The sequence below is a fragment of the Homo sapiens genome, chromosome 18 (genome assembly GCF_000001405.40).
Source record: "Homo sapiens chromosome 18, GRCh38.p14 Primary Assembly".
Classification (NCBI taxonomy): Eukaryota; Metazoa; Chordata; class Mammalia; order Primates; family Hominidae; genus Homo; species Homo sapiens.
The window spans coordinates 13,463,742-13,487,578 of record NC_000018.10 but is presented as its reverse complement, the minus strand read 5'-3'; the positions used below and the strand labels follow the sequence as shown (position 1 = coordinate 13,487,578).

The 23,837-nt window shown below is 46.4% G+C and overlaps 1 protein-coding gene and 1 long non-coding RNA gene across 49 annotated transcripts in view, besides 2 other annotated features; one reads left to right on the top strand and one right to left on the bottom strand.

The window, feature by feature from the left end:
* Positions 1–23,837, bottom strand: part of LDLRAD4 (low density lipoprotein receptor class A domain containing 4) — a 435,073-nt gene that overhangs the window by 165,176 nt on the left and 246,060 nt on the right. For 5 of the 48 annotated variants that reach the window (NR_172142.1, XM_047437776.1, XM_047437774.1 and 2 more), the window contains one exon: positions 22,468–22,588. The exons of 38 other annotated variants lie outside the window; for them this stretch is intronic. Coding sequence is in view for 4 of the 10 variants with exons in the window: in XM_047437776.1 (XP_047293732.1) it covers positions 22,468–22,588 (121 nt within the window). In the remaining 6 variants the exon portion in view is untranslated. Of the gene's footprint in view, positions 1–3,459; positions 3,543–5,699; positions 7,320–14,404; positions 15,942–22,467; positions 22,621–23,837 lie in introns of those variants that run through there. 5 more of the 48 variants (XM_047437791.1, XM_017025970.2, XM_047437792.1 and 2 more) reach the window with 4 other exon arrangements.
* Positions 12,554–13,053: an enhancer, noted in NCBI's record as "H3K4me1 hESC enhancer chr18:13474525-13475024 (GRCh37/hg19 assembly coordinates)". NCBI's record gives its function as "activates a minimal SCP1, AML or CMV promoter by ChIP-STARR-seq in naive H9 embryonic stem cells {active_cell/tissue: H9 hESC(naive)}" and the evidence as "EXISTENCE:reporter gene assay evidence [ECO:0000049][PMID:30033119]".
* Positions 13,054–13,555: an enhancer, noted in NCBI's record as "H3K4me1 hESC enhancer chr18:13474023-13474524 (GRCh37/hg19 assembly coordinates)". NCBI's record gives its function as "activates a minimal SCP1, AML or CMV promoter by ChIP-STARR-seq in naive H9 embryonic stem cells {active_cell/tissue: H9 hESC(naive)}" and the evidence as "EXISTENCE:reporter gene assay evidence [ECO:0000049][PMID:30033119]".
* LDLRAD4-AS3 (LDLRAD4 antisense RNA 3) lies at positions 16,561–17,552 on the top strand. Its single transcript, XR_007066301.1, has 2 exons — positions 16,561–16,785; positions 17,281–17,552. It is a non-coding gene; the product is annotated as an LDLRAD4 antisense RNA 3 (long non-coding RNA).

The window sequence follows — 23,837 nt, the reverse complement described above, 5'->3', positions numbered from 1 at the left end:
GCACACAGAAGGCCTGCGGCTGTAAGAACCCTGGCCATGAGGTGGAGCACAGAGAAGTTCTCGGCCTTGGTAGCCACAGAAAGAAATGACGCCGATGCCACAAACACGTCTTTCTGAAGGTGTCAGCATCTCCATCAGGGCAGAGAAGCCTTTGTTCTTCTTTGAGCAGCCCTTCCTGGTCTGGCCACATGGCCCTGCCGGGACAGATGCCCTTCATGCTCCTTTCTGACTGCATCCCCGACCCAACAGCAAGGGCCAGAGAGTCCTTCAGCCCAATGCCCACCTGTAAGTGTAGCACACCAGGGACAGGGGGCTAACCTGGCCCACTGCTCTTCCCCAGCACAGCAGGCAGGTGCCTTTTGCTACACTTCCTGGAGAGGCAGCAAGGTCCTTGATGTTTTCTGAACTGGATCATGGTTGGGGAATAAAAAAGAAATGATCACTCTCATCAAAGTTTCATGTAAGGAAAAAAGACCCCTATTTAAAACTATTATAAAACTTCAAATGCCTGAGAAGCATATGAAAAGGTGCTCAGGTTCATTAAACATCAAGGAAATGCAAAGTAAAGCCACAATATCATACTACCACCCACCCAGCAGAAATGAGAAGACAGCAAGCGTTGGGGTGCGTGTGGGACCGGCAGGGGTCTGCGGACGTGCCAGCGGGAGTGGAAATGGGAAACCGTTGACCCTGGTGATTCCACCCCGACACTTCCAACAAAATGCAGCTCAAGGGGGCTCTGCGGGGCTGCTTGAGTTCTGGGGCTTTTTTTGTTTGTTGAGGTGAAATTTGCATTAATACACAACCATTTTAAAGTGAATCCTTCAGTGGTATTTCACACAAGTGTTTCCAGTGTATAAAAAAATCAGTGAGCTTTTGATACATGCACTTTTCTGAATGTATATATCAAGTCAACAAAGATTTTAATAAACAGAGTGATGAAGTGATGAAATGTAAAATGCACTCTTTCCTCAAGCGCACTTCTTACAAGCAGCTTTGCTTTGTAAACAGAGAGGAGGTGTACGCACTGGCACTCCTTCCGCTGACTCTGCTGCTCCGCGTTCTCCCTGGTGGAGCAGGCCCTGGTGGCTTCTGCTACATATCACCAGATTCCCTTCTGATGATGATTTATGCACTATCTATACATGTGACAAAACTCATTGGTAACCTTTCCAGATGGCTTTAAATTGTAACTTGCTATTTGTTTGTATGCTTAGCCAAGCTGCTACATTCCCAACTCTTTGGAGAAAGGAAACTGTTTTACTTCAGTAAGGGGGAAAGTCACAAACCAAAAATAAATATGTAGTAAAATAATCTTGACACAAGAAAATCACCTCCAATGTGACATATCCCAGGGAACTACGTCTGCAGTAACGTCCTCATTATGTGGGTTCCGCAGCCCAACATGATTAATGTTTGAAGAGCAGAGAACGGGGTTAAAATCCAGTTTCTAGAATCCTCAGTTCTTGATATTTCCAGATGGTGGATGCACCCCACAACCATGAGCAATTATCAGTAACCCAGAGCTACTTCAGCAGAGGCAGCTTCTGAATAAAGCTAAACCAGAAGAGAAGGGAAAAGTCCCGCTTTAAAGCAGTTAATGAATAAAGCTTTACCCTTTTGCATTTTTAACCACAGCTGATGCTTCCTATTCCTATTTTTTGTAGTGATAATACTTATTTATCCTGGCATCTTTCTTAGGGACAAGGTCTTGCTCTGTCGCCCAGGCTGGAGTGTGGTGGCGTGATCATGGCTCACTGAAGCTTCAAACTCCTGGGCTCAAGCGATCCTCTTGCCTCAGCCTCTGAAGTCGCTGGGATTCCAGGCGTGAGCCACCGCTCCTAGGCCTGGGTTCTTGATACATAAATTCTATCACACAGATGGCACTATGTGACATATAGGGATAATTATTAAGTTACTAAAACTGAAGCACCCAGCAGAGAGAACACAGCAAGTGGGCAGGTGATCCCAGGCCACGCCCCGGGCCCAGCAGGGCACATCTCTGTTCTACAAGTGGGTTCAGAGCAGCAGGGGCAGCAGCCACAAGCAGCATGAGGATGGTCACTACTGTCATGCCGTACCATGGAACTGATGCCCTATACATGTCCCTGGCCTGCAGACATGGAGAGCAGACAGGGTCATCATGCCCAACAGGAAGCAGGCGGAGGCCCAGGAGCCACGAGGGCACGTGGCCAAGTTTCCCAGCCTGGTGGCTGAGGCCGAGCCCCTCACTCAGGCCTTCCTGGCTCCCAACTCCGTGTTTCTACCACCAACTACACTCCTACCAGAGGCTTTGTGGGGTCAGTGGAAAAGGGGCAGCTCCAAGCAGTAATAGTTATGCCAGCACTGTGCCAGCCAGACACCTGGAGAGCAAAGCACAGGCCCACAAAGCAGGTCCTCCCCACGAGGAGCTCAGGTCCACCGAGGGAAGGCAGGAGCTCCGACACTCTCCACTCACATCCCTGGATGCCCAATACTTAGCGAAGTCCTAGTAAACAACAGGTATTCAGCAAATATTGGTCAGTAAATACGCTGCAGAATATTTCTCCAAATAGGGAGACGGTGTCGTGATAGAGCTCATCCACTGGGTGACGTGCCTGTCTACAAGTCTCAGAAGAGCTGCAGAAATACAAATTATATTCTAATGTTTTAGAGTGATCGTCTACCATGTTAAATACATCTAATAATATGACTGCATCCAAGGGTGGGCTTAAGCAAGCTAGTATAACCACCAGGGATATTTAAATCTACCCCCAAATATCCAAATCGATTCACATTTACTGACACCCATTTGAAAAATCAAGGAAGATACTGGCACTGGGTCAGATATGTGCATTAGTGCCTGTCTCTCCAGGTGGGGGCAGGGGGAGTCAGATCTTTTTAATTCCTACAGAAGAAAATTTCTGTAAGAATACAGATAGTGAGATAGAAAGTGATTCGTTGGTCTTGTTTTTTGAGACAGGGTTTCACTGTCACCCAGGCTGGAGTGCAGTGGTGTGATCATGGCTCACTGCAGCCATGACCTCACTGCAGCCTCGATGCTCCAGCAACAGAGGCTCCCACTTCAGCCTCCCAAGTAGCTCGGAGTAGCTGGCACACCACCGAACCCAGCTAATTTTTTTATTTTTTTACTTTTTGTAGAGACAGGGTCTCCCCATATGTTACTCAGGATGGTCTCAAACTCCTGGGCTTAAGTGACCCGTCTGCCTCAGGCGCAAGCCACTGCACCCAGCCTAGAAAGTATTTTAACATTTTCTAAAGGCAACATAAAAAGCACAGCTTAGAACTTGTTCTCTAAAACTAATCCAAAAATACGTGCCTGGCCTGCTCTGTGTTTTCGTCTTCCTTGCCACTGGATCTCCTGCTCCTCTCAGCCTACAGACCCCAGCATCACCCAGCGAATGCAGAGGAAGGAGCCACACTTCTGAGGAGGGGAAGGAAAACGAAGGTGAGTCTTACCATCAACTCCCTGGGTGGGCTTCGGCCCCTGGGTTCACCTCATTGCTGTCACACAGGGATGGCAAGGGGCTTTTGCTCCTTCCCTGGATGGAGGGAAAGAGAACATAGACATCTCACGGGCCAAGTCAGAAAGGGACAGACCAGGGTTAAGCTAAGCAGGGGGCCCAGGGGTCTTGAGCTGTGAAGCAGATGGCAGGAGACAGAGCAAGTGAGCTGAATGTGGGGCCTGCTACTGAGAGGAGAGAGACCTTCATAGGACCAGGAAGGAGGGGCTCAGAACAGACGGAGCGCTAGTGAGTACTGCTGGGTAAGACCTGGGAAGACCTGCCCACAACACCTTCCTGTCTGAGCTGCTTGGGAAAGGGTCTCATTTCTCTGAGTCCCACTTTTCTGATCTGCAAAGTGGAGATAACGTCTACCCTCACAGAGATGGGGAAGATTAAATGATACAACACGCACAGTATCTGGCGTTTGGTAAGCATCCGGCAAACACATCCTAGCTTGCCGACTAGGGGCCAGAAGCCTGGAAGAGAGGCACAGCACCCACATGCCTCAGCCCCACTCAGGATAGATGTGACCAACCCCAGGGCTCCCACCCACCATGCTGGCTGAAGGCTCAGGGTTCTTAGCACAGCAGACAGGCAGCCACACTGCTGCGTGATGCCTGACATGACCCCCGGGTCCAGGGGTCTGTCCAGGCAGGGGCAGCACAAGTGTTTCACAAAGGTTTCCACAGCAAAGATCGAGGACTAGACTTGGAGATGGGAGCTTCAAGGAAGAGAACTCAGTTCTCAGCACACCAGTTAAAGCTGAGAGCCCAAGAACACAGTGAGAAACTCAGTAACTACAGAGCCGTGTTGTGGCAGGTCTGGCTAGATGCTGAGCCAAAAGGACTGGGGCTCAATATATTCTCTCTGTGGAGAGATGGGTTTGAGACCAGGGATAAAACCTGTCCTGAAAACATGCGCTCAGAAAACAACACCCCAAGATATGGTGCTCTGGCATGCTGACTGCTTTGAACAATGGAGATTGAAAGGCCTCAGAAATAAGCTCAGAACCAAGGCCTCTCTCCACCTTGCTTCCTTGCCCTCTTTCCCTTCTGAAGCATGGGGGTGGGCTCTCTCTGAAGGTCCCTCATCTGACCTAGGGAAGTTCCTCTGGAAGGAATGCATTTGTCTTAGACTCCCCTCCCTAGGATTTATATTAATCACAGAAAATTAACTCTTAACATAGGAGAGAAAACTCAAAGTCTCCATGCCCAGGACAGACTTCACCTATTCTTTCAACTAAAGGGCTGTTACCTGAGAGACTTAATCTGCATAATTAGACAACCTTTGTTCACAGTGCACTTCCACCCCTCACCTTCCCATAACTTGTCACTACCTCCCCCAGGGCCCATAGGAACTTAGTCCCAGTCCATTGTCTGCTCTTGAGTCCACTCATCTCCTCATTGAGGGGTCCCTCTCCACACAGACTGATGGGGCTCAGAGAGGCGGCCCCTGCAGTCCCCATGGGACAGCTCTGACCCGGCCCTCTCAGGCATGCTGTGCTCCTTCCCATGCAATTGGCCTCAATTTTCACTTTTGTTTCTGAGTGGTGATGGGGGGAACTGAAATACTCAAATGCTTGTAAATAAATCACCCTGTCTCATTGCTCAGCTGAGTGTTTTTTGCCAATACAGAGCTTCCGTGTGCTCACGCTCATGGGAGTCAGCTGTGGGGAAGGTGGGACGGTGGGGTTTGCACAGAATAAGCACATGGCGTGGTCTGCAGGGCCTCCTTTTTATGCAGCTGCCTGCGCTCCTGTCCTGTCCCTGGCAGAGGAAGTGTGTGCAGAAGGATCTGAAAGTCGGGGGTGAGGTGGGCAGCGGGTTCAGAGGCAACCGTCCCCAGGGGTGTGAGTTTGGCACTGGTTCTCCACCTGATATGCCCCCAGGCACTGCCCTTCTCTGCAGGCCCCCAGCCCTCACTACAGGCCAGGCTTCCCCACTGGGTCTCCTTCCTGGAAGGCAGCGTTGGCCTTCCTGTCCCTGCTTGCCTCCCCACTGTCCACCTCGGCCACAGAGACGCTCACTCTCCCTCCTCAGTCTGGAGAGCTCCTCACTGCCCCTGCAGGCCCTCCAGTCCTGTCACTTCAGTCACTCTGTCTCCCCCAGCCCCACTCCAGCCCTGCTCCGCCCTCTGCCCTCCTGCCCTGTGAGCCTTCTGCCTTCCCCCTCCTGCCCAGCAAACTCCACTCACCTCTCACGCTCTGTCATTTCCTCCAGGAGATCTTTTCTAAGTTGAAGCCTTCTGTCCAAGACACTCCCATAATGATGAATCTAACCATCCTCCCTTCCTAGAGGGGCTCATGGAGAACAGAACATGGCTGCCCTGCCTGGATCCCTTCAGAGCCTCAGGCCCAGCTCAGGACCCTGCCTAAGAGCAGGCACTTGATAAACGCCTGTTGAATGAATGAATACATGAGCCATGGTGTCCAGCGAGAGAACACTGCTGCCCCAGAAGAGGTGCGTGCGGTGGGGAGGGGGTGGAGACTGGGGGACAGGAACAGTGACAACAGGGGCCCAGTCTTGGGTGGTGGTCACAGCTCGAGGGCCACCAGAAGTCTTCCCAGCAGACGGGGCCATGCACAACCGTGTCACAGCACATGCCTCAGAAATCATGTTGCTGACAGCAGTCAGCGTCAAGCCACAGTCAGCGTCTACACGTGCCCCCGCTTCTCAGGCTTTGAACCTGAATCACCCCTTCTGTCCAGAGGAAGCCATCCACAAAGTTGGAGCATCAAGGTGAGAGCTGAGGCACAGGAGAGGGAAGTGTCTGCCTCAAGACTCTGTCCTCTTCCAGACACGTGTCCTGTCCCCGCTTCCCCAGCTAGGCAACCTCTCAAAGCAGGGTGTTCACTCTCAACAGGGCAGAAGAATTTGCCCATCTTCTGATAGGGCAGAAGATGACGGGAGGACAGCCACACATGTTCCAAACTGCTCTCAGCTTCCAGGTCAGGCTCAGCCATTGTGCAGCCCACACTGGCGTGTCTGTCTGTCTGGCATGCATGTCTGCCCCACCCCATGTCCGTCCCTAGGACATGTGCATCCACAGCTCCCACACCAGAGTTCCCAGGAAGACAACGATCAGGCCAGAATGCTGGACTTTTGCTTAGGTCAATGTTATATGTTTCTTAGATGCTGACACACTAGTCAAGGCTCTGGCTGACACGGCTGACAGCCAGGACGTGGGTTTTCACTGGGAGTCATGGGTGTCTGTGAGGCTGGATGACCTTCCACTTCCTACTCCAGGTCACTTATTTCTAACATTTGTCATCATGACCCAAATCTAACTTTAAAAGCATTCTTCCACTTAATGAAGCTCCAGTCAGAATTTATGACTTAATTTTTAGAGAAGTTTTAGGTTCACAGCAAAATTGGAGAGGAACATGCAGAGATTTCTCACGTGCTCTCTGCCTCCCACCCCCAACACACGCACAGCCTCCCACATGATCACATCCCACACAGAGTGGCGCATCATTACGCTTGATGGACGGACACCACCACTCCTTCATCACCCAGAGTCTGTGGCCTTCGTTAGGGTTCACTCTTGTACATTCTCACAGGTCTGGACAAATGTATTTTGCCATGGATCTACTGCTACAGTACCATACAGAATAGGCTCACGGCCCTAAAAATCCTTTGTGCTCCTCCTAATCGTCCCTCCCTCCCCGCTACCCTGGCAATGATCTTCTTACTATCTCTACAGTTTTGCCTATTCCAGAATGTCACACAGTTGGACTCACACTGTACGTAGCTTTCAGACTGGCTTCTTTCACTTAGTCACAGGTATTTAAGTTTCCTCCATGTCTTTTCATAGCTTGAAAAGAAAAAGCACATTTCTTTTTAGTGCTGAATATACTTCATTGTCTGGATGTACCACAGTTTAGTTATCCATTCTCCTACTGAAGGACATCTGGGTTGCTTCCAAGATTTAGCCATGATGAATAAAGCTGCTATAAACTTCCATGTGAAGGTTTCTGTGTGGACATAATGTTTCAATTCCTCTGTGTAAATACCGAGGAGCACAATTGTTGGATCATATGGTAAGATTATGCTGAGTTTTGAAAGACACCGTCAAACTGTTTCCAATGTGGCTGCCCCCCGCCATAGATGAGAGTTCCGGTGGCTCCACATCCTCCCCAGCACTTGGTGTTGTCAGTATTCTGGATTGGGGCCATTCTAAGAGGTATACAGTGGGATCTCATTATTTAATTTGCATTTCCCTGATAACATATGGTGTGGAGCATCTTTTCATATGCTTATTTTCCATCTGCATATTTTCTTTGGTGAGGTGTCTATTAAAATTTTTGGCCAATTTTTTAATCAGGTTTTTTTCTTTTTTCTTACTGTTGAGTTTTAAGAGTTCTTCGTATAGTTTGGTCCATTATCAGATTGTCTCTGTAAATATTTTCCTCTAGTCTGTGGCTTTTCTTTTCTTTTCTTTTCTTTCTTTTTTTAGATGGAGTCTCACTCTGTTGCCCAGGCTGGAGTGCCATGGTGCGATCTCAGCTTGCTGCAGCCTCCGCCTCCCGGGTTCAAGCGATTCTCCTGCCTCAGCCTCCCAAGTAGCTGGGATTACAGGCACCCACCACCATGTCCAGCTAATTTTTGTATTTTTAGTAGAGATGGGGTTATGCCATGTTGGCCAGGCTGGTCTCCAACCCCTGACAACAGGTGATTCGCCTGTCTTGGCCTCCCAAAGTGCTGGGATTACAGATGTCGGCCACTGCACCCAGCCCTCTTTTCAATGACTTAAAAGTGTCTTTCACAGGGCAGAAATGTTTAATTTTAATGAAGTGCAGCTTCTCAATTATTTTTTTCATGCCCCATGCCTTTTGTATTATATCTAAAACATCACCATCAAACCTGAGGTCATCTAGATTTTCTCCTATGTTATCTTCTAGGAGTTTTAAGTTTTATGTCTCATATTTAAGCCTGTGATCTATTTTGAATTAATTTTTGTGAAAAGTGTAAGGTCTATGTTTAGATTCAATTTTTTGTGTGTGCATGTGGAGAGCCAGCTGTTTCAGTACCATTTGTTGAAAAGATAATCTTGCCTCCACCGTATTACCTTTACTTCTTTGTCAAGATTCATAGGCCATATTTTTATGTGGATCTGCTTCTGGGCTGTCTGCTCTGTCAACTGATCCATCTGTCTGTTCTTTTGCCAACCTATCTTGATGCCTGTAGCTTTATGGTAAGTCTTTAAGGCAGGCAGCGTCATTTCTCCTCCTTTGCTCTTGCCCTTCAGTACTGTGTTGGCTACTCCAGGCAGTCTCCCTTTCCATATAAACTTTAGAATCAGTTTTTCCGTATCCAAAAAACAACTCACTGGGATTTTTATGAGGAGTGCATTGAATCCATTTATGAATTTGGGAAGAACCGGCATCTTGACTATATTAAGTCTTCCTATCCATGAACTTGGAATATTTCTCCATTGACTTCTTTGACTTCTTTAATCAGTTTTGTCGTTTTCCTCATATAAATCTCATGCATATTTTGTTAGATTTACCTAAGTATTTAATTTCTTGCATGCTATTATAAATGGTTTTGTGCTTTAAATTTCAAATTCCACTTGTTTATTGTTGATATATAGGAAAAAAGCAATGTGAAGCCAAGCAAGGATTTTAGGCAAAGAACAGACACAGCTGAATTTTGTTTTCAAACTAGAACCCAGTTGATGTTCAGAATGGATTAAAGGAGAATAGGTGCTTGGGACAACGGGAAAATACCAACTGTTAATCCTGACCTTCTAGGGCAGCACACCAACACTTGGATGTGTATATTCATCACCTGGCGATTCCGTTACAGTAGAAGATATGCTACAGCAGGCCTGGGTGGAATCCAAGAGTCAGCATGTCCAACAAGCCCCAGGTGATGCCAATGCTGCAGGCTCTCAGACAACCCCGAGTCAAGAGGGTCTGGGGGAAAGCAGATGGGGCTCTGAGCTCAGGCAGAGACCGTGAGGAGGGGAGGATGGACTATGTTCCAGAGAAAATACACTGTCTTGCCACTCTTGTCTTTCTCCCTCACTGTATCAGAAGTAGGTCCGAAGCAGGAAGGAGGGGGACGAAGGAGTCAGTGGGAGCAGATGAGTAAAAAGCACCTGCCTTTGGTATCCTTCGTTGATCTGAGATGCATTATCCGAGCCCGGGACCACGGAAAAGCCGCCAGTTTCCCCTAACCAGTGAGATGTGCCTGCTGGATTTTTCCTGCAGCTCTGGCCCTTGACTACATCGACTTGAGGGATGCCCTTGACTGCCTGTCAGCAGGGCCTGCATCAGACGCCTCTTCTGCACCCCCTTTCTCCTTCCAAAATGCGAACATGGCTCATCAAAAGGAGCGAGAGGTGCGGGGTCACTTAAGCACTTAGATATCCCCTGGGCTCACTTCTTTGCTCTCCAAACTGTAGTTTTCTCAGCTATGAAAAGAGGGGCTTGGTCTAGAAAACACCTCTAATTGCCTTTCCATAATCCCATGACCTGAGCTCTCCCCTCAGCCTTTGAAAGCCTCCTCTTTGTTTCCAAAGATCAACATCCAAGCCATGCTGCCTGCACAGAGTCAGGTTTTCTCCGCTTGGGCTTCTGCCAGTACTGAAGAGAAATGCATGACAAGTATCCCGCCTGATAGAGGCAGGTGGGAGGGCTCTTCTAGAAGCATTCTGCTACTGTTTCTCATGGGTCATGGAGGCAGCTGGGTGGCCACAGAGGACCTGCTGCTGGATGCTTTCTCGGGTGAGCGTGCATTTCCCACCTCATGGACCTCCTTCCTTGTTCTTCTGACCATGGTTCCATCAACAAACGCCCATGCCCAGGAAGGTCGGGGCCCCAGCTTTTTTTAGGCCAAGGAGCAGAAGTCTAACACCACAGCTGTCTTGCTAGAAGATAAAGTGAGGCCTAAAAGAAGGACCCCTCTGGGGAAAATTAGGGCCCAATCCTCCTGGTATTCCTTGTTTCATTCTTTACCACAGAAAAATTCCACCAAAATTACTAATATTCATTACCATGAGTTCAGTCTCCTACAAAGCCTAGTCCATTGTGAGGTCAAATTCAAACATGTTTGTATAAACGGATCTTAGTGAGTTTTCTTGAGACATCAAAAAGGATAAGAAAAATATAATTAGAGAACTTTTTCAGATAAAAGGCATAGTCCATTCCAATTTAAATATTATCCATGTCACTCCATTCCTTTGTCCAAAAATATAAGCTGAAGCAAATATCTGCTGGAGACCACATCTAGGGGCAGGAACAGTCCTCACCAGGCACCAAGCAGGTCCCACAGTGAGTGAAGTGGGCTGTGAGCAAACAACATCATGGGCCTCAAGATCCTGCAGAGGCTCTTGGCCTCTGTGTGGAGGAGACAGAGAGGGCCTAGGGACAGGGGACACGTGGCCCACCTGCTACTGCATCTTCCCATTTTTTGCAAGAAATATGACTGGATTTTTTTTTTTTTTGAGACAGGTTCTTGCTCTGTTGCCCAGGCTGGAGTACAGTGGTGTAATCATAGCTCACTGCCGCCTAGATCTCCTGGGCTCAAGGGATCCTCCCACCTCAGCCTCCTGAGCAGCTGGAACTACAGGTGCACACCACCATGCCAGGCTAATTCTTAACTTTTTTTAGAGGTGGGGTCTTGCTACATTGCCCAGGCTGGTCTCAAACTCCTGGACTCAAGCGATCCTCCTGCCTCAGCCTCCCAAAGTGCTGGGATTACAGATGTGGGCCACCGGCCCAGGCTGGGTTTTCAACATGAAGTCTCCTAATTCAGTCTTAATGTTGGCAATTTACTTCTAATTTTTAAACACTGAGGACTTCATTTTTAAAACAGTGAGGTGTACACACCAAGTTAAACATGCGTCTGGACCAGATGTGACCCCTGAACGTGACTTTGCCACCTCTCACCCACAAAGCAGAGCCCCTTCCATAAGGAAGCCACAGGCACTTAAGGCATCCATGTGCCAACATACCGAGTTTTAAATCTGTTACAGATTTACAGACCCTTCAGTCTGGTCCCCCCGGATTAATCCAAACTATATCTCAGATTCCCCTGACAAACACCCCATTCTAATGAGGCTGACCTCCCGTTCCCCTGACAAACACCCTGTTCCAATGAGGCCGATCTCCTGGGCACCTGTGATCAGACCATTTCCATTTCCTCCTCCATCCCTTTGCTCAAATTCTTTCGTTCCTCTGCAATGTCCTTTCTTCTTCCTTAGAGTCAGAAGCACAGTCATACCCCACCTTTCTACACCATTGTCCTTGACTCCTTTGATGACTGTGTCTTTTATTATTTGCACCACACAGTTTAGCATGGAGTCATGCACGGCTGCTTATTGTGAGCTAGCTGTTTCATATGTACTCCTGATGAGGCTGTGAATTCTGGAGGGAAGAGGCCAGGTCTTGTTGGCTGTTCACAAGATTTCTTGTGTTTTAGGGTAATGGGAGTCCGTGTGCACCATAAGCTACAAAGACACCCAGGACATTGGCCACAAAACACACTGCATTAATTGATACAAAACAGAACAGCCAGGCAGGGCCCAGTGGCTCATGCCGGTAATCCCAGCACTTTAGGAGGCTGAGGCAGGAGGACTGCTTAAGACCAGCCTGGCCAACACAGCAAGAACCTGTCTTTACAAAAAAAAAAAAAAAAAAATCAGCGGGGTGTGGTGGCGAGCACCAGAGTCCCAGCTACTCTGGAGGCTGAGCCACAAGGATTCCTGGAGCCTAGGAGATCAAAGCTGCAGTGAACCAGCCTTGAGCTCCTGGGCTCCAGGGATCCTGTTGTCTCCGGGCCACAGAGTGAGACATCTCTTAAAACAAAACAAAAAACAGAGCCACCACTGTGAATCTGGCATTCCTCATACTGGGAGAAAGAATTGTTTAACCTAAGTGAAAAAGATCTAGTGAGGAAAGTGCCAAGCACAGACTGAAAACAGCAAACTTAACGTTTGCACCCTTGAGGCTCCTGTCTGCTCCACTTCCCTCTGGAGTCACGTCAACACTGGATGTGACTAAGGCTTCTTTGGGTGCTTCCCAGCAATCAAGAGGAGCCACCCCAGACCCAGGGCAAGCACCCTCAGGCCCCAAACTGTGGCTCCTGGGAGCCCATGGCATTTGTCTATGACCCATAAACCATCTTAACCCCAGATAAGCAGGACTCAGCTCATGCTAAACCATGAGGAATCCTCCACCAACCCCAGCACCTGTAGCCCCTGGGCCGCACATTTCCTGGGTCAGCCTGAGTCCTCTCTAACTGCCACCCAAAAATCCCGAGTCAGACATAGCCATCCTAACCTCGGGAGACAAAGACCTTTTGTTGTTTGTTGTTGTTGTCTTTGAGACAAGGTGCCAGGTAGGTGTGGGGTAGAATCAACTCTACTTCTGGAGTCTCCAGACACTCTCATGATCTGCACCTGTGGCCCCTCTCCCTCTGGCCAGGCACTGGCTTCACTTCCATCCCAGTTCCTCTGCTCCCCTGCAGACCATCCTCTGGGTCCAGGAGGAAGGGAGCAAGACCCACCTGGCCCCGAAGTCCTCACTGGGGTATCAGGACTGCTGCACTGGCCACACCATCACTTTCTGTCCTGCATGGAGGGAGCAATGGCTTGGATCTGCACCCAGTGGGCTGGAAGCCGCTTCCCAATGTTGCTTCCATTTGAATCTGACACGTGTCTAACTCCTGAGGTTGGGATGGATATGTCTGACTCAGGGTTTTTGCAGGCTGACCTAGGAAATGTGCAGCCCAAGGGCTGCAGGGGCTGGGCTGGTTGAGGATTCCTCACGGCTTAGCGGCTGTATTAGTCTGTTCTTACACTGCTATCAAAAATACCTGAAACTGGGTAATTTATATTAAAAAAGAGGTTTAACTGGCTCACAGTTCTGCAGGGGCCTGTACAGGAAGCATAGTGGCTTCTGCCTCTGGGGAAGCCTCAGGAAGCTTCCAATCATGGCGAAGGCAAAGGGGGAGCAAGCACATCTTAATGGCTAATGCAGGAGAGAAAGAGCACGAGGCGGGTTCTGCACACTTTCAAACAACCGAACCTCATGAGAACTCACTACCACGACAACAGCACCAAACAGATGGTGCTAAGTCATTCACAAGAAACCACCCCCATGGTCCAACCACCTCCTACCAGACTCCACTTTCAATGCTGAGGATTACAATTCAGCAACAGATCTGGTGGGACACAGAGCCAAACCACATCAGCAAGAGCATGGGTCCTATTTGTCTGGGGTTAAGGTGGTTCCTGGATCAGAGACAAATGCCACAGGCTCTCAGGAACTTCACTTTGGGGCCTGAGGTTGCGTCTCTCAAAAAGAAAGTGTTTGAATTTGGATCTGGTGTATAAGCCCCGCCCCTGTATAATATGTATATTATAAATATATATAAAATGTAAACGTTATATATATATATATATATATATATATATATATATATATATATGAGATGGGATCTTACTGTGCTGCCCAGACTGGAGTGTAGTGACACGATCATAGCTCACTGCAGCCTCCAACTGGGCTCAAGCAAGCCTCCCACCTCAGCCTCCTGAGTAGCTGGGACTACTGCAGATGCATCACTACACCCAGCTAATTTTTACTTTTTGTAGAGACTCAAACTCCTGGCCTTAAGCTATCATCCTGCCTCAGCTTCCCAAAGTGCTGGGATTACAGGCATGAGCCACAGTGCCCAGCCCCCACTAGGTTTTTGAATCTGTCTGGCTGTGATATGATTTTCATGCAGAAACACCTAGACTATGGGATAAATGCCTACAATAAACAACTAGAGAAGCTGGAGATGGGATGAAGAATCCAGGCCACGTGCTCTTTCTTACCCTTGTGGGATTTTTGCCTGGGCAAGAAGAAGACACATTTTTAATGTCTCTGTTTTGAAATGAACATAACTCACCTGATGTATGATCTTTAGGTTATAATTAGGTTTGCTTTTTCTGTGAACTATATTCTGCCTTCAAATGCTTCAATCCATCTGATGTGCTGGCAGGCGGGGGCGGGGGGTTCTCAGTGTATTCCCATAAAGTATTTTCATTTCAGTTGAGAAGATTAATTAATGTTGACTTCTACAAACAAATGCTGTTCAGAGAATGATAATGACATACTGAGATGATGAGTAAAGAATTAACACTATCTTCTAACGTTTGCAAAAGACAGACATAAACACTACCACAAAATGTTCTCTACACATTACTCAAGAAAAAGAGGTACGTGTTTGCTCAGATGTGCTCGCTGTTAACTATGAAACCTGTCCCTTTCTACCCAGTGAAAACAAACAAGGAGTATGTTTGTGAAGCAAGATTATTCATGAGAATAGAACATTCTGCAGTGTATTAACCAGGGACCTCTGTGATGTGTAAATGAAATCATTTTATTGCACTTGACCTTAAACTGTCTCTCCGTAACCTTTCTGCCAACATTAAGGCCAAGTAGGTGCAAATTAAGGTAAGAAGACAGAGTGGATGGGAGTGGGTGGGTGAACAGGACAGAGGAGGCCGCCAGGTGGATTTCTCATTGGCGGAGAGGACGCCCAAACCCTCAGACCTGGCACCCAGCCTGGACAGGGTCGGGATCCTGCAGGCTCCACGGAGCAGCCCCTTTGTTTGTATTCTAATGTGTTTTGCAGCACAGAACAGAAGCTGCACTGTTATGCTGGAGCATTTCATGAACCTCAAGTCTTTTATCTGAAATCAAAGCTTAAATGACTTCTTTTATCTGCTGGCTCGTGGGCCAGCCCCGTCCAGTGGCTGAATGAAAAGGAGGAAGGCCAGTGCTGTCCCATTTGCAGGCTTCAATGAGCTCGACAGCCCTGGGATCTCAGAGAGCAGAGAGCTGATCTGGTTGCAGGGACTTCAAAGACAACAGGCGCAGGAGCCCACACTGCCTCAGACTGGCCATGGCCAAGCCCCGGCTGGATGGCACAATGCGAGGCCTTCCCTGACGGCCAGGCCCGTCCACCCTCGGTCTGGGGAGGGGGTTGGCTGGGAGGTGGGCAGCGTCTTCCAGTGGTGAAGATGAAGTCACCCAAACGAAACCCTTCTGCCTACAATTAAGAGTGCAGTTTCTCTGCACAGAAGGTGGAAATCGTGTTTTTATGACCAGAGCTTCCTTCTTCCCATGACTTCCCCTTATAAGATTGTGTCTTCTCTGGGAACAATTAGATATTAATTATGCGGTAAATGCTTTTTATAGTGCCAAAGATTCTATATATGCCTGAAAGAAAATAAAATAAAACAAACAACACTGTTCTTCAAGAAAAATGGAGTCTCACCGGTGAGCAATTCTTATGAAACAGGAGAATTTGGCTTGGCAGAAGCCACGGGGCCATCCCAGGTACCACTGTGAGCTGCTCCATCCTGCCTCCGGCACCTCCTCTTCACCCGGCACCTCCTTGTGCCATCCCGAGGCCGTCATCCCTCCACCCTCCCCAGCTCCACGGAGCCCTCCAGTGCTCCAGGCCACTGACTCTCCGAGTGGGTCCCTGAACCAGCAGCATCAGCATTACTCTCTGCAAACTTGTCAGAAATGCAAATTCTCAGAACACCCCAGACCTTCTGAATCTCAGGACAGTGACCGGATGTACAAGAGTTGGAGAACCAGTGCCTGGGCCTTTTCTTCCCCTCTTCTCTCCATTACGAAAGAAAAACAATGCTACATCCCTTCCAGTGGGGAGCCCATGCGCACTGTGACACGCTGTGCTGTGTGCATTCCACCGCCACTTCTGCTCAGTGTCCCGACACAGCAGACAGTGAGAGCAGCAGGACAGGGCAAAGGTACAGCCAGTGCTCACGCTGCTGTGATCTACACACAGCCTCAGCCAGACCCAGCGCATGGGTCTAACTCTCAGGTATCTATTCAGACATGGTCTCACGGAGGGCCAGGCAGCCTTGGGGCCCAATCACAAGCCAGTTAGAAAGGCCACGGAGTACAACAATCACTGGTTAATGATGTCATAACACTTTGAGTGCTGCCTACTAATTATGACATCATTAACAATCTCCAGCACTTTGCAAAGAGATCCCCAAGTTTGCTCTTTCACCCACAGTAAAGACACTCCCACACTTTGTCTACAAACGAGCTTCTTTTCACCAGGGCAGCCTGGGCGTGGAGAGGTGAATGCAGCTGCAGTGGCCGGTGGAGAGGGAGAGGGCGGTTACCAGGGCCACAAAGACCCCTGCTAGGCATTGCGTCCTAACAGGGGTCTTTGTGGGCACTCTGCTTGCCCAAGACACTGGGGAGAAGTGGAAGTTGAGAGCAGGGCAGCGCATGGGGAGTGAGGTCAGTGCTGTGTGTGGCTGAGGAGGGTGGCTGGGATCTGGGGAAGCAGAACTGACCCCAGCAGACACCCTTGCACCCTCATCCAGGCCCATACCAGAGCAGGAAGGCGGGAGTGCCATGACCAGAGGGTCAGCGATCCACTTCCCGCAACACATCCCAGCATGTGCCTCTGACTGACAGTGACTGACTCACTAACTCAATCAACAAACATGCCTAGAGCTCATACTAGATGCCAGACAGGGGCAGGGTGACTTCCTACACATCTCACAGGGCTCAGGGCTCCAGGACATTGGCTATTTTGCTGTGGCAGACATGAATTACGTGCCACAAGGATGGTGGCCAAGTGCTGGGTTGGTGAGGTGCCGGCGGAAGGATGAGAATCCACATCTCAACCTGACAGTATGATTTTCTAACCATCCTTATACACACTTCCAAAGTGCTGAAAACTTTATTTCCTCATGAAACACAACCATTCATGAGAGATTAAACTTGCAGGTGAGAAAATACGCAGGAAACACTTATTTCTCTATGAAAATATGAGTCTGAAGAAAGTCAAGAGACTCTACAAACATTTCTGCAGCCCTCTATTGGAGATTTGCAAAGGTCTGCATGTGCACCCCTTTGGATGTCAAGGGCTTACTGAATACCATTTCCACACGGTCTATCGCTATGTCAAAGGGCAACTGCTCCACCATCATTTCTGATCCACAGACCTGTTAGATGTTAGTCTGGAGAAGGAGAAATAAAACTCAATGTTGTTAATTGCACTCCAAATAGTCCCACGATTTTTTCTAACTTTTTATTGTAGTAAAATATATATAACAAATGTTGCCACTTTAATCATTATTAGATTTATTTTTAGAGATGGAGTCTCACTATGTTGCCCAGGCCAGCCTCCAAATCCCTGGCTCAAAGAATCCTCCCTCTTCAGCCTCCCAGTAACTGAGACACAATTCAGTGGTGTTACTAACATTTGCACTGTTGTGCAACTGTCACCACCATCCATTTCCAAATCTCTTCCCTGAACACAAAACTCTGTAACCATCAAGCAGTAAAGTCTCAATTCTTCCCTCCTCCAAGCTCCTGGTAACCTCTAATCCACTTCCTGTCTCTCTGACCTTGTGTATGCTAGATATTTCATATAAGCAGTATCATATATTTGTCATATCTTATATTTTAGTCACTGGCTTATTCCACTTAGCATAATGTTTTCCAAGGTTCATCCAAACTTCATTCCTTTTTATGGCTGAGTAATATTTCATCACGTGTATATACCACATTTTTTATCTCTTCATCAGTTGATAGACTTGTAAGTTATTTCCACTCTCTGGCCATTGTGAATAATGCTGTAATGAACAGTGGGTACAAATATCTGTTCCGGTCCTTGTTTTCAATTATTTTGGTTGTACACCTGGGAGTGGAATTGTTGCATCATATGGTAATTGTATGTTTAACTTGTAGAGAAACCATCAAACTGTTTTCCATAGTAGCTGCATCGTTGTAAACTCCTATCAGTAATAAAAAGGGGTTCCAATTTCTCCACATCTTTGCCAATGCTTGTTATTTTCTGATTTTTAAAATCATAACCCCTCTGGTAGGTGTGAAGTGGTATCTCATTGTGGTTTTGATTTTCCTTTCTCAAATAACTAAGAATACTTGGTATGTTTTCATTTGTTTATTGGTCATTGCATATCTTCTTTGGATAAATGTCTATTTAAGCCCTTTGCCCATTTTTGTGTTTGGTTATTTGTCCTTTTGTTGTTGAGTCTTTTAGTAGTTCTTTTTTTATTATTATTATACTTTAAGTTTTAGGGTACATGTGCACAATGTGCAGGTTAGTTACATATGTATACACGTGCCATGTTGGTGTGCTGCACCCATTAACTCGTCATTTAACATTAGGTATATCTCCTAATGCTATCCCTCCCCCCTCCCCCCACCCCACAACAGGCCCCGGTGTGTGATGTTCCCCTTCCTGTGTCCATGTCTTCTCATTATTCAATTCCCACCTATGAGTGAGAACATGCAGTGTTTGGTTTTTTGTCCTTGCAATAGTTTGCTGAGAATGATGGTTTCCAGCTTCATCCATGTCCCTACAAAGGACATGAACTCATCATTTTTTATGGCTGTATAGTATTCCATGGTGTATATGTGCCACATTTTCTTAATCCAGTCTATCGTTGTTGGACATTTGGGTTGGTTCTAAGTCTTTGCTATTGTGAATAGTGCCGCAATAAACATACATGTGCATGTGTCTTTATAGCAGCATGATTTATATTCCTTTGGGTATACACCCAGTAATGGGATTGCTGGGTCAAATGGTATTTCTAGTTCTAGATCCTTGAGGAATCGCCACACTGACTTCCACAATGGTTGAACTAGTTTACAGTCCCACCAACAGTGTAAAAGTGTTCCTATTTCTCCACATCCTCTCCAGCACCTGTTGTTTCCTGACTTTTTAATGATCGCCATTCTGACTGGTGTGGGATGGTATCTCATTGGGGTTTTGATTTGCAGTCCTTTATATATTCTGAATAATAAGCCTTCATCAGATAAATGACTTGCAAATATTTTCTCCCATTTTGTAGGATGTCTTTTTACTCTCTTAATAATGTCTTTGGATGCACACAAGTCTTTCATTTTGATAAAGTCAAATTTATCTGTTTTTTTTTCTTTTGTTGTTCATACTTTGGGTGTTATAGCTAAGAATCCACTGCCATATCCAACATCATGAAAACTTACCCCTATGTTTTCTCCTACGAATTTTATGCTCTTGGCTCTTAAATGTAAGTCGTTGATACATTTCAAGCTAATTTTTGTACCTGATATGAGATAGGGTCCAACTCCCTTCTTTTGATGCAGGAACCCAGTTGCCCCAGCATCATTTGTTGAAAAGACTATTCTTTCCCATTAAATGGACTTGGAGCCCTTATCAAAAATCATCCAATCATCCAGCCATAGCTGTGTGGATGTCCGGACTCTCAGTTCTCTTCATAGGTCTATGCATCTATCCTGAAGTCCACGCCACACCGTGTTGATTACAGTACTTTTGTAAATTTTGAAACTGGGAAGTGTGAGTCCTCTGACTTTGTTCTTTCTCAAGAGTGTGTTGGCTGTAAGGTGTGCCTTGAAATTCTATATGAATCTTAAGATCAGCTTTTGCAAAAGTGAAAGGCTGTTAGAATTTTGATAGGGATTGTATTGCATCTGTAGATGGCTTTAGGTAGTATTTATGTGTTAGCTATACTAAGTCTTCTTACCCATGAATATGGAACGTCTTTCCATTTAATTAGGTATTCTTTAATTTCTTTCAGCAATATTTTGTATTGTTTTCAGTGTACAAATCTTTCTTCCTGGGTTAAATTTACTTCTAGGTATTTTATTCTTTTAGAGCTAATTTAAATGAAATGACTTTGTTAATTTCCTTTTCAGATTGTTCATGGCACATGTATAGAAACACACTTGATTTTTGCATGTTGATGTTGTTCCCAGCAATTCTGCTGAATTCATCTATTTGTTCTAGTAGCTTTCTTGTGGCATCTCGGAGATACTCTATACATAAGATCATGTCATTTTTGAACAGGGATAGTTTTCATTCTTTTCTTTGCAATTGGATGCCTTTTATTTCTTTTTCTTGTCTAGTTGCTCTGGCTAGAACCTGGAGTACAATGTTGAACAGCATTGGTAAAAGTGGGTATCCTCTCTTGTTCCTTGTCTTAGGGTTTAAAGCTTTCACCACTGAGTATGGTATTAGTAGGTTTTTCATAAATACCCTGCTATAGACTGAATGTTTGTGCCCCACTACAACTCACATGTTGAAACCTAATTACCAATGTGAGGATATTAGGAAGTGGAGCCTTCAGGAGGTGATTAGGTCATGAGGGCGGAGCCCTCATAAATGGGATTAGTGTCCTTATAAAAGAGATCCCAGAGAGCTGGCTGGCCCCTTCCACCATGTGAAGATATAACAAGAATGTTCCATCTATGAACCAGGAAACAGGCCCCCACCAGACACAGAATCTGGTGGTGCCCCGATCTCAGACTTCCGACCTCCAGAACAATGAGAAATAAACCTCTGTTGTTTACAGGCCACCTCGTATATGGTATTTTGTTAGAGGCACCCAGCTGGACGAGGACATGCCTTTTATCTTGTTGAAGAAGTTCCTTCTATTTCTAGGTTTTTGTGTGTTTTTATAATCAAAGAAGGTTAAGAGTTTGTCAAATGCCTTTTCTGTGTCTATTGAGAAGATCTCATTTTTTTTCTTTCATTCTATAAATGTGGTATATTATATTGTTTGATTTTCCTTTTTTTTTTTTTTTTGGTGAAACAAGGTCTCACTCTGTGACCCAGGCTGGAGTGCACTGGCATGATCACAGCTCACTGCAGCCTCAACCTCTTAGGCTCAGGTGATCCTCCCACCTCAGCCTCCCAAGTAGCTGGGACCAAAGGGACCCGCCACCACCCCCAGCTAATTTTGTATTTTTTGTAGAAACAGGCTTTTGCCATGTTGCCCAGGTTAGTCTTGAACTCCTGGGTTCAAATGATCTGCCCACCTCAGCCTCCCAAAGTGCTGGGATTACAGGCCTGAGCCACCGTGCCCAGGCCTGATTTTCTTATGTTGAACAATTCCATTATCCCTGAAAGAGACAACTAATTGCAAACTATGTGTTACTATATGAAAATTATGCTCGGAGCACCATTTTAAAGATTACTTCATTATTTCATTCAAGATATATTTATTTTGCACCCAGGCATTATTTTGAGCACCGAAGGCACAGCCTGGACTAAACAGTTATCTCTGCCCTCCTGGAGTAACACTCTGAGAGGAGAGACAGATAGTAAGTGAGACAGGTAAAATATATAGTTAGTGATAAGGAAAATAATATGGCAAAAAAGGGGGAGAGAGTATGAAGAGGCTGAGATTCTAGACAAGAGAGGCCTAACTTACAGCATTACGGTTTATACACATGTCCACAACTCAGCATTGCTTTCAAAATAGGAACACTTTATTAGTAAAGAGGAAGAAATTGCCTAAACAGACTCAGTGTCTTTCCCATAACAATCATCTGCCAAGCCGCAGGCCTAACCAGGAAATCCCATTTCCTTTTGGCGTTGTGTCCTCCACCAACAGATACAACCCTGATGCCAAATGTTGTATGGTTTGTAGGTGTTGTGAGCCAATGAGGGCATGCCCAGGGCCAAAGGCTGCCCTTTGGAATGAGGGCAAGGTCGTAGACTCCATCAAACAACAAATGCATCCTCCTCCAAAATCAAATGCTCAACACATGCAGCCTTTCGTATGCCCATCTCCCCTTTACTCATTTTCATGGCTGAAAATCATCAGGATGGGCATTTGTCCATAACTCCTACAGGTTAATTTCCTGACATGATATGAGCCTTTAAGAAGTTATAAAGGGTTACATCATCTTTTCATTTCTGACACCAATATACTAACAGAACTTGAACACAGCCATCTGACCTTCAGAATCAATGAAACACGCAGCCTGAGAATAAAGAGAGGGCGTGCTGTTTGGTAACCTGACTTCAACACCTAAGCAACCACTAAGTGTGCCTGAGCCGATGCACAGAAATAAAAGGAAAATAAAGTCAGATTTTAAAAGCCAGATGTTATGCAGGTTAAACACAACCTCATTTAAATTCCGAAATCACAAGATACTTACTAACAGCGATGGAGCCGTGAACAGAGCACTCCCTGGAGAGGCCCCCATTTAGCTCTGCGGCCTCGCGCCATCGTTTCCGGTGGGCAGCACCCCTCTTGGCTCGCTCCCTTCCTCCCGGCTCCTGCCACAGCAGACAGGAAGCACTGTGTGAGCAACAGGAAACCTGCACTTCCTTGTCTTGTGCACCGGCCAACCAATTAGCATGTCACCATGAGGGGCAGATGCACATGAATATGGAGCACGGAGCCTCATTTTTCTGTTCAGTCTGTCAAGCCATGAATTCACTCATCCCATTTTGTCCTAAAACCTTGGGGTGGGGGTGGGGGTGGGGGCTGAAGGGAAGGAGGGTTTCAAAAGCCCCATCTACAGCGATGTGAAAAAAAAAAAAAAAAAAGTCAGGCTCTGTCAGCCCTAAAGGGCATTTCTAAGAGCAATGGCACCATCTTTCCACATTCAGGTGCACTTCCCTGTGGAAGGTTCTAGACACACGGTGGCCCCTCAAATTATTCCCTGTGGCAGACAGTGGTATTGTCACATCTGCTATCCACTTGTGTAAAGAAAAAGGAAGACCTGATCTAAGAGTTTTGAGGCTGAAAGATATAGCAGGTATAACCAGATATTTAATATGAAAAACCCAAGTATCTAAATGAGATTATTAGTTGACATAAGCTCCGATAAAGGTACAGAAATGAAAATATGCAATGCCTAATTCTACTGATCAGATTAGAGCAATTTCTATAGAAAATTACTATTCTTTGCTCACAACACAGTTTAAAGCAATGTAAACACATCCCTATTGCTACTGTGCCCAAATACTTCTCTGCTGAGCTATTAGCCATCGTTTCATTTTATAAAAACCATAATAGAAAATGTGGCCAAACAGATAGATGGAGTGTTCCCAGCAATATGGAGAAACAGTTGTGTTTATGCAGAGATTAGTCTTTCAAATTGAGAGATCTCCAAAGCTCCATTTGTACTTGAAAGGCTTGTCTTTTTGTTACCCAGTAAATAGCTCATTCATATTCTACAAAGAAAACCCTCTAAATTGGGAGAAATAGCCATATTTAACATTAGGTAGGGAAATGGGGCTGAAAGCGAGAAAAGAAGTCTATTTCCCCCAGTTTCTTGGACTAGATTAAAGCTTTCCTTTATAATTTAAAACAGCCTCTGTTTTCTCCACATATAAGAGGCAGAAATTTCATGAAAGGCTGAGAAGTACTATCCATTAATGCAGAAATTATGCCAAAGAACAAGTTAAGAAACACATTTTTAAAAAGCAATCTTGGGTCCTTTTCTCTTATTCTGCAGTACATGTTTCTTAGCTGCTGCAGCTCCCTAAAGGCGGGGGTGGCTGTCAAGCTGGCCTGAAG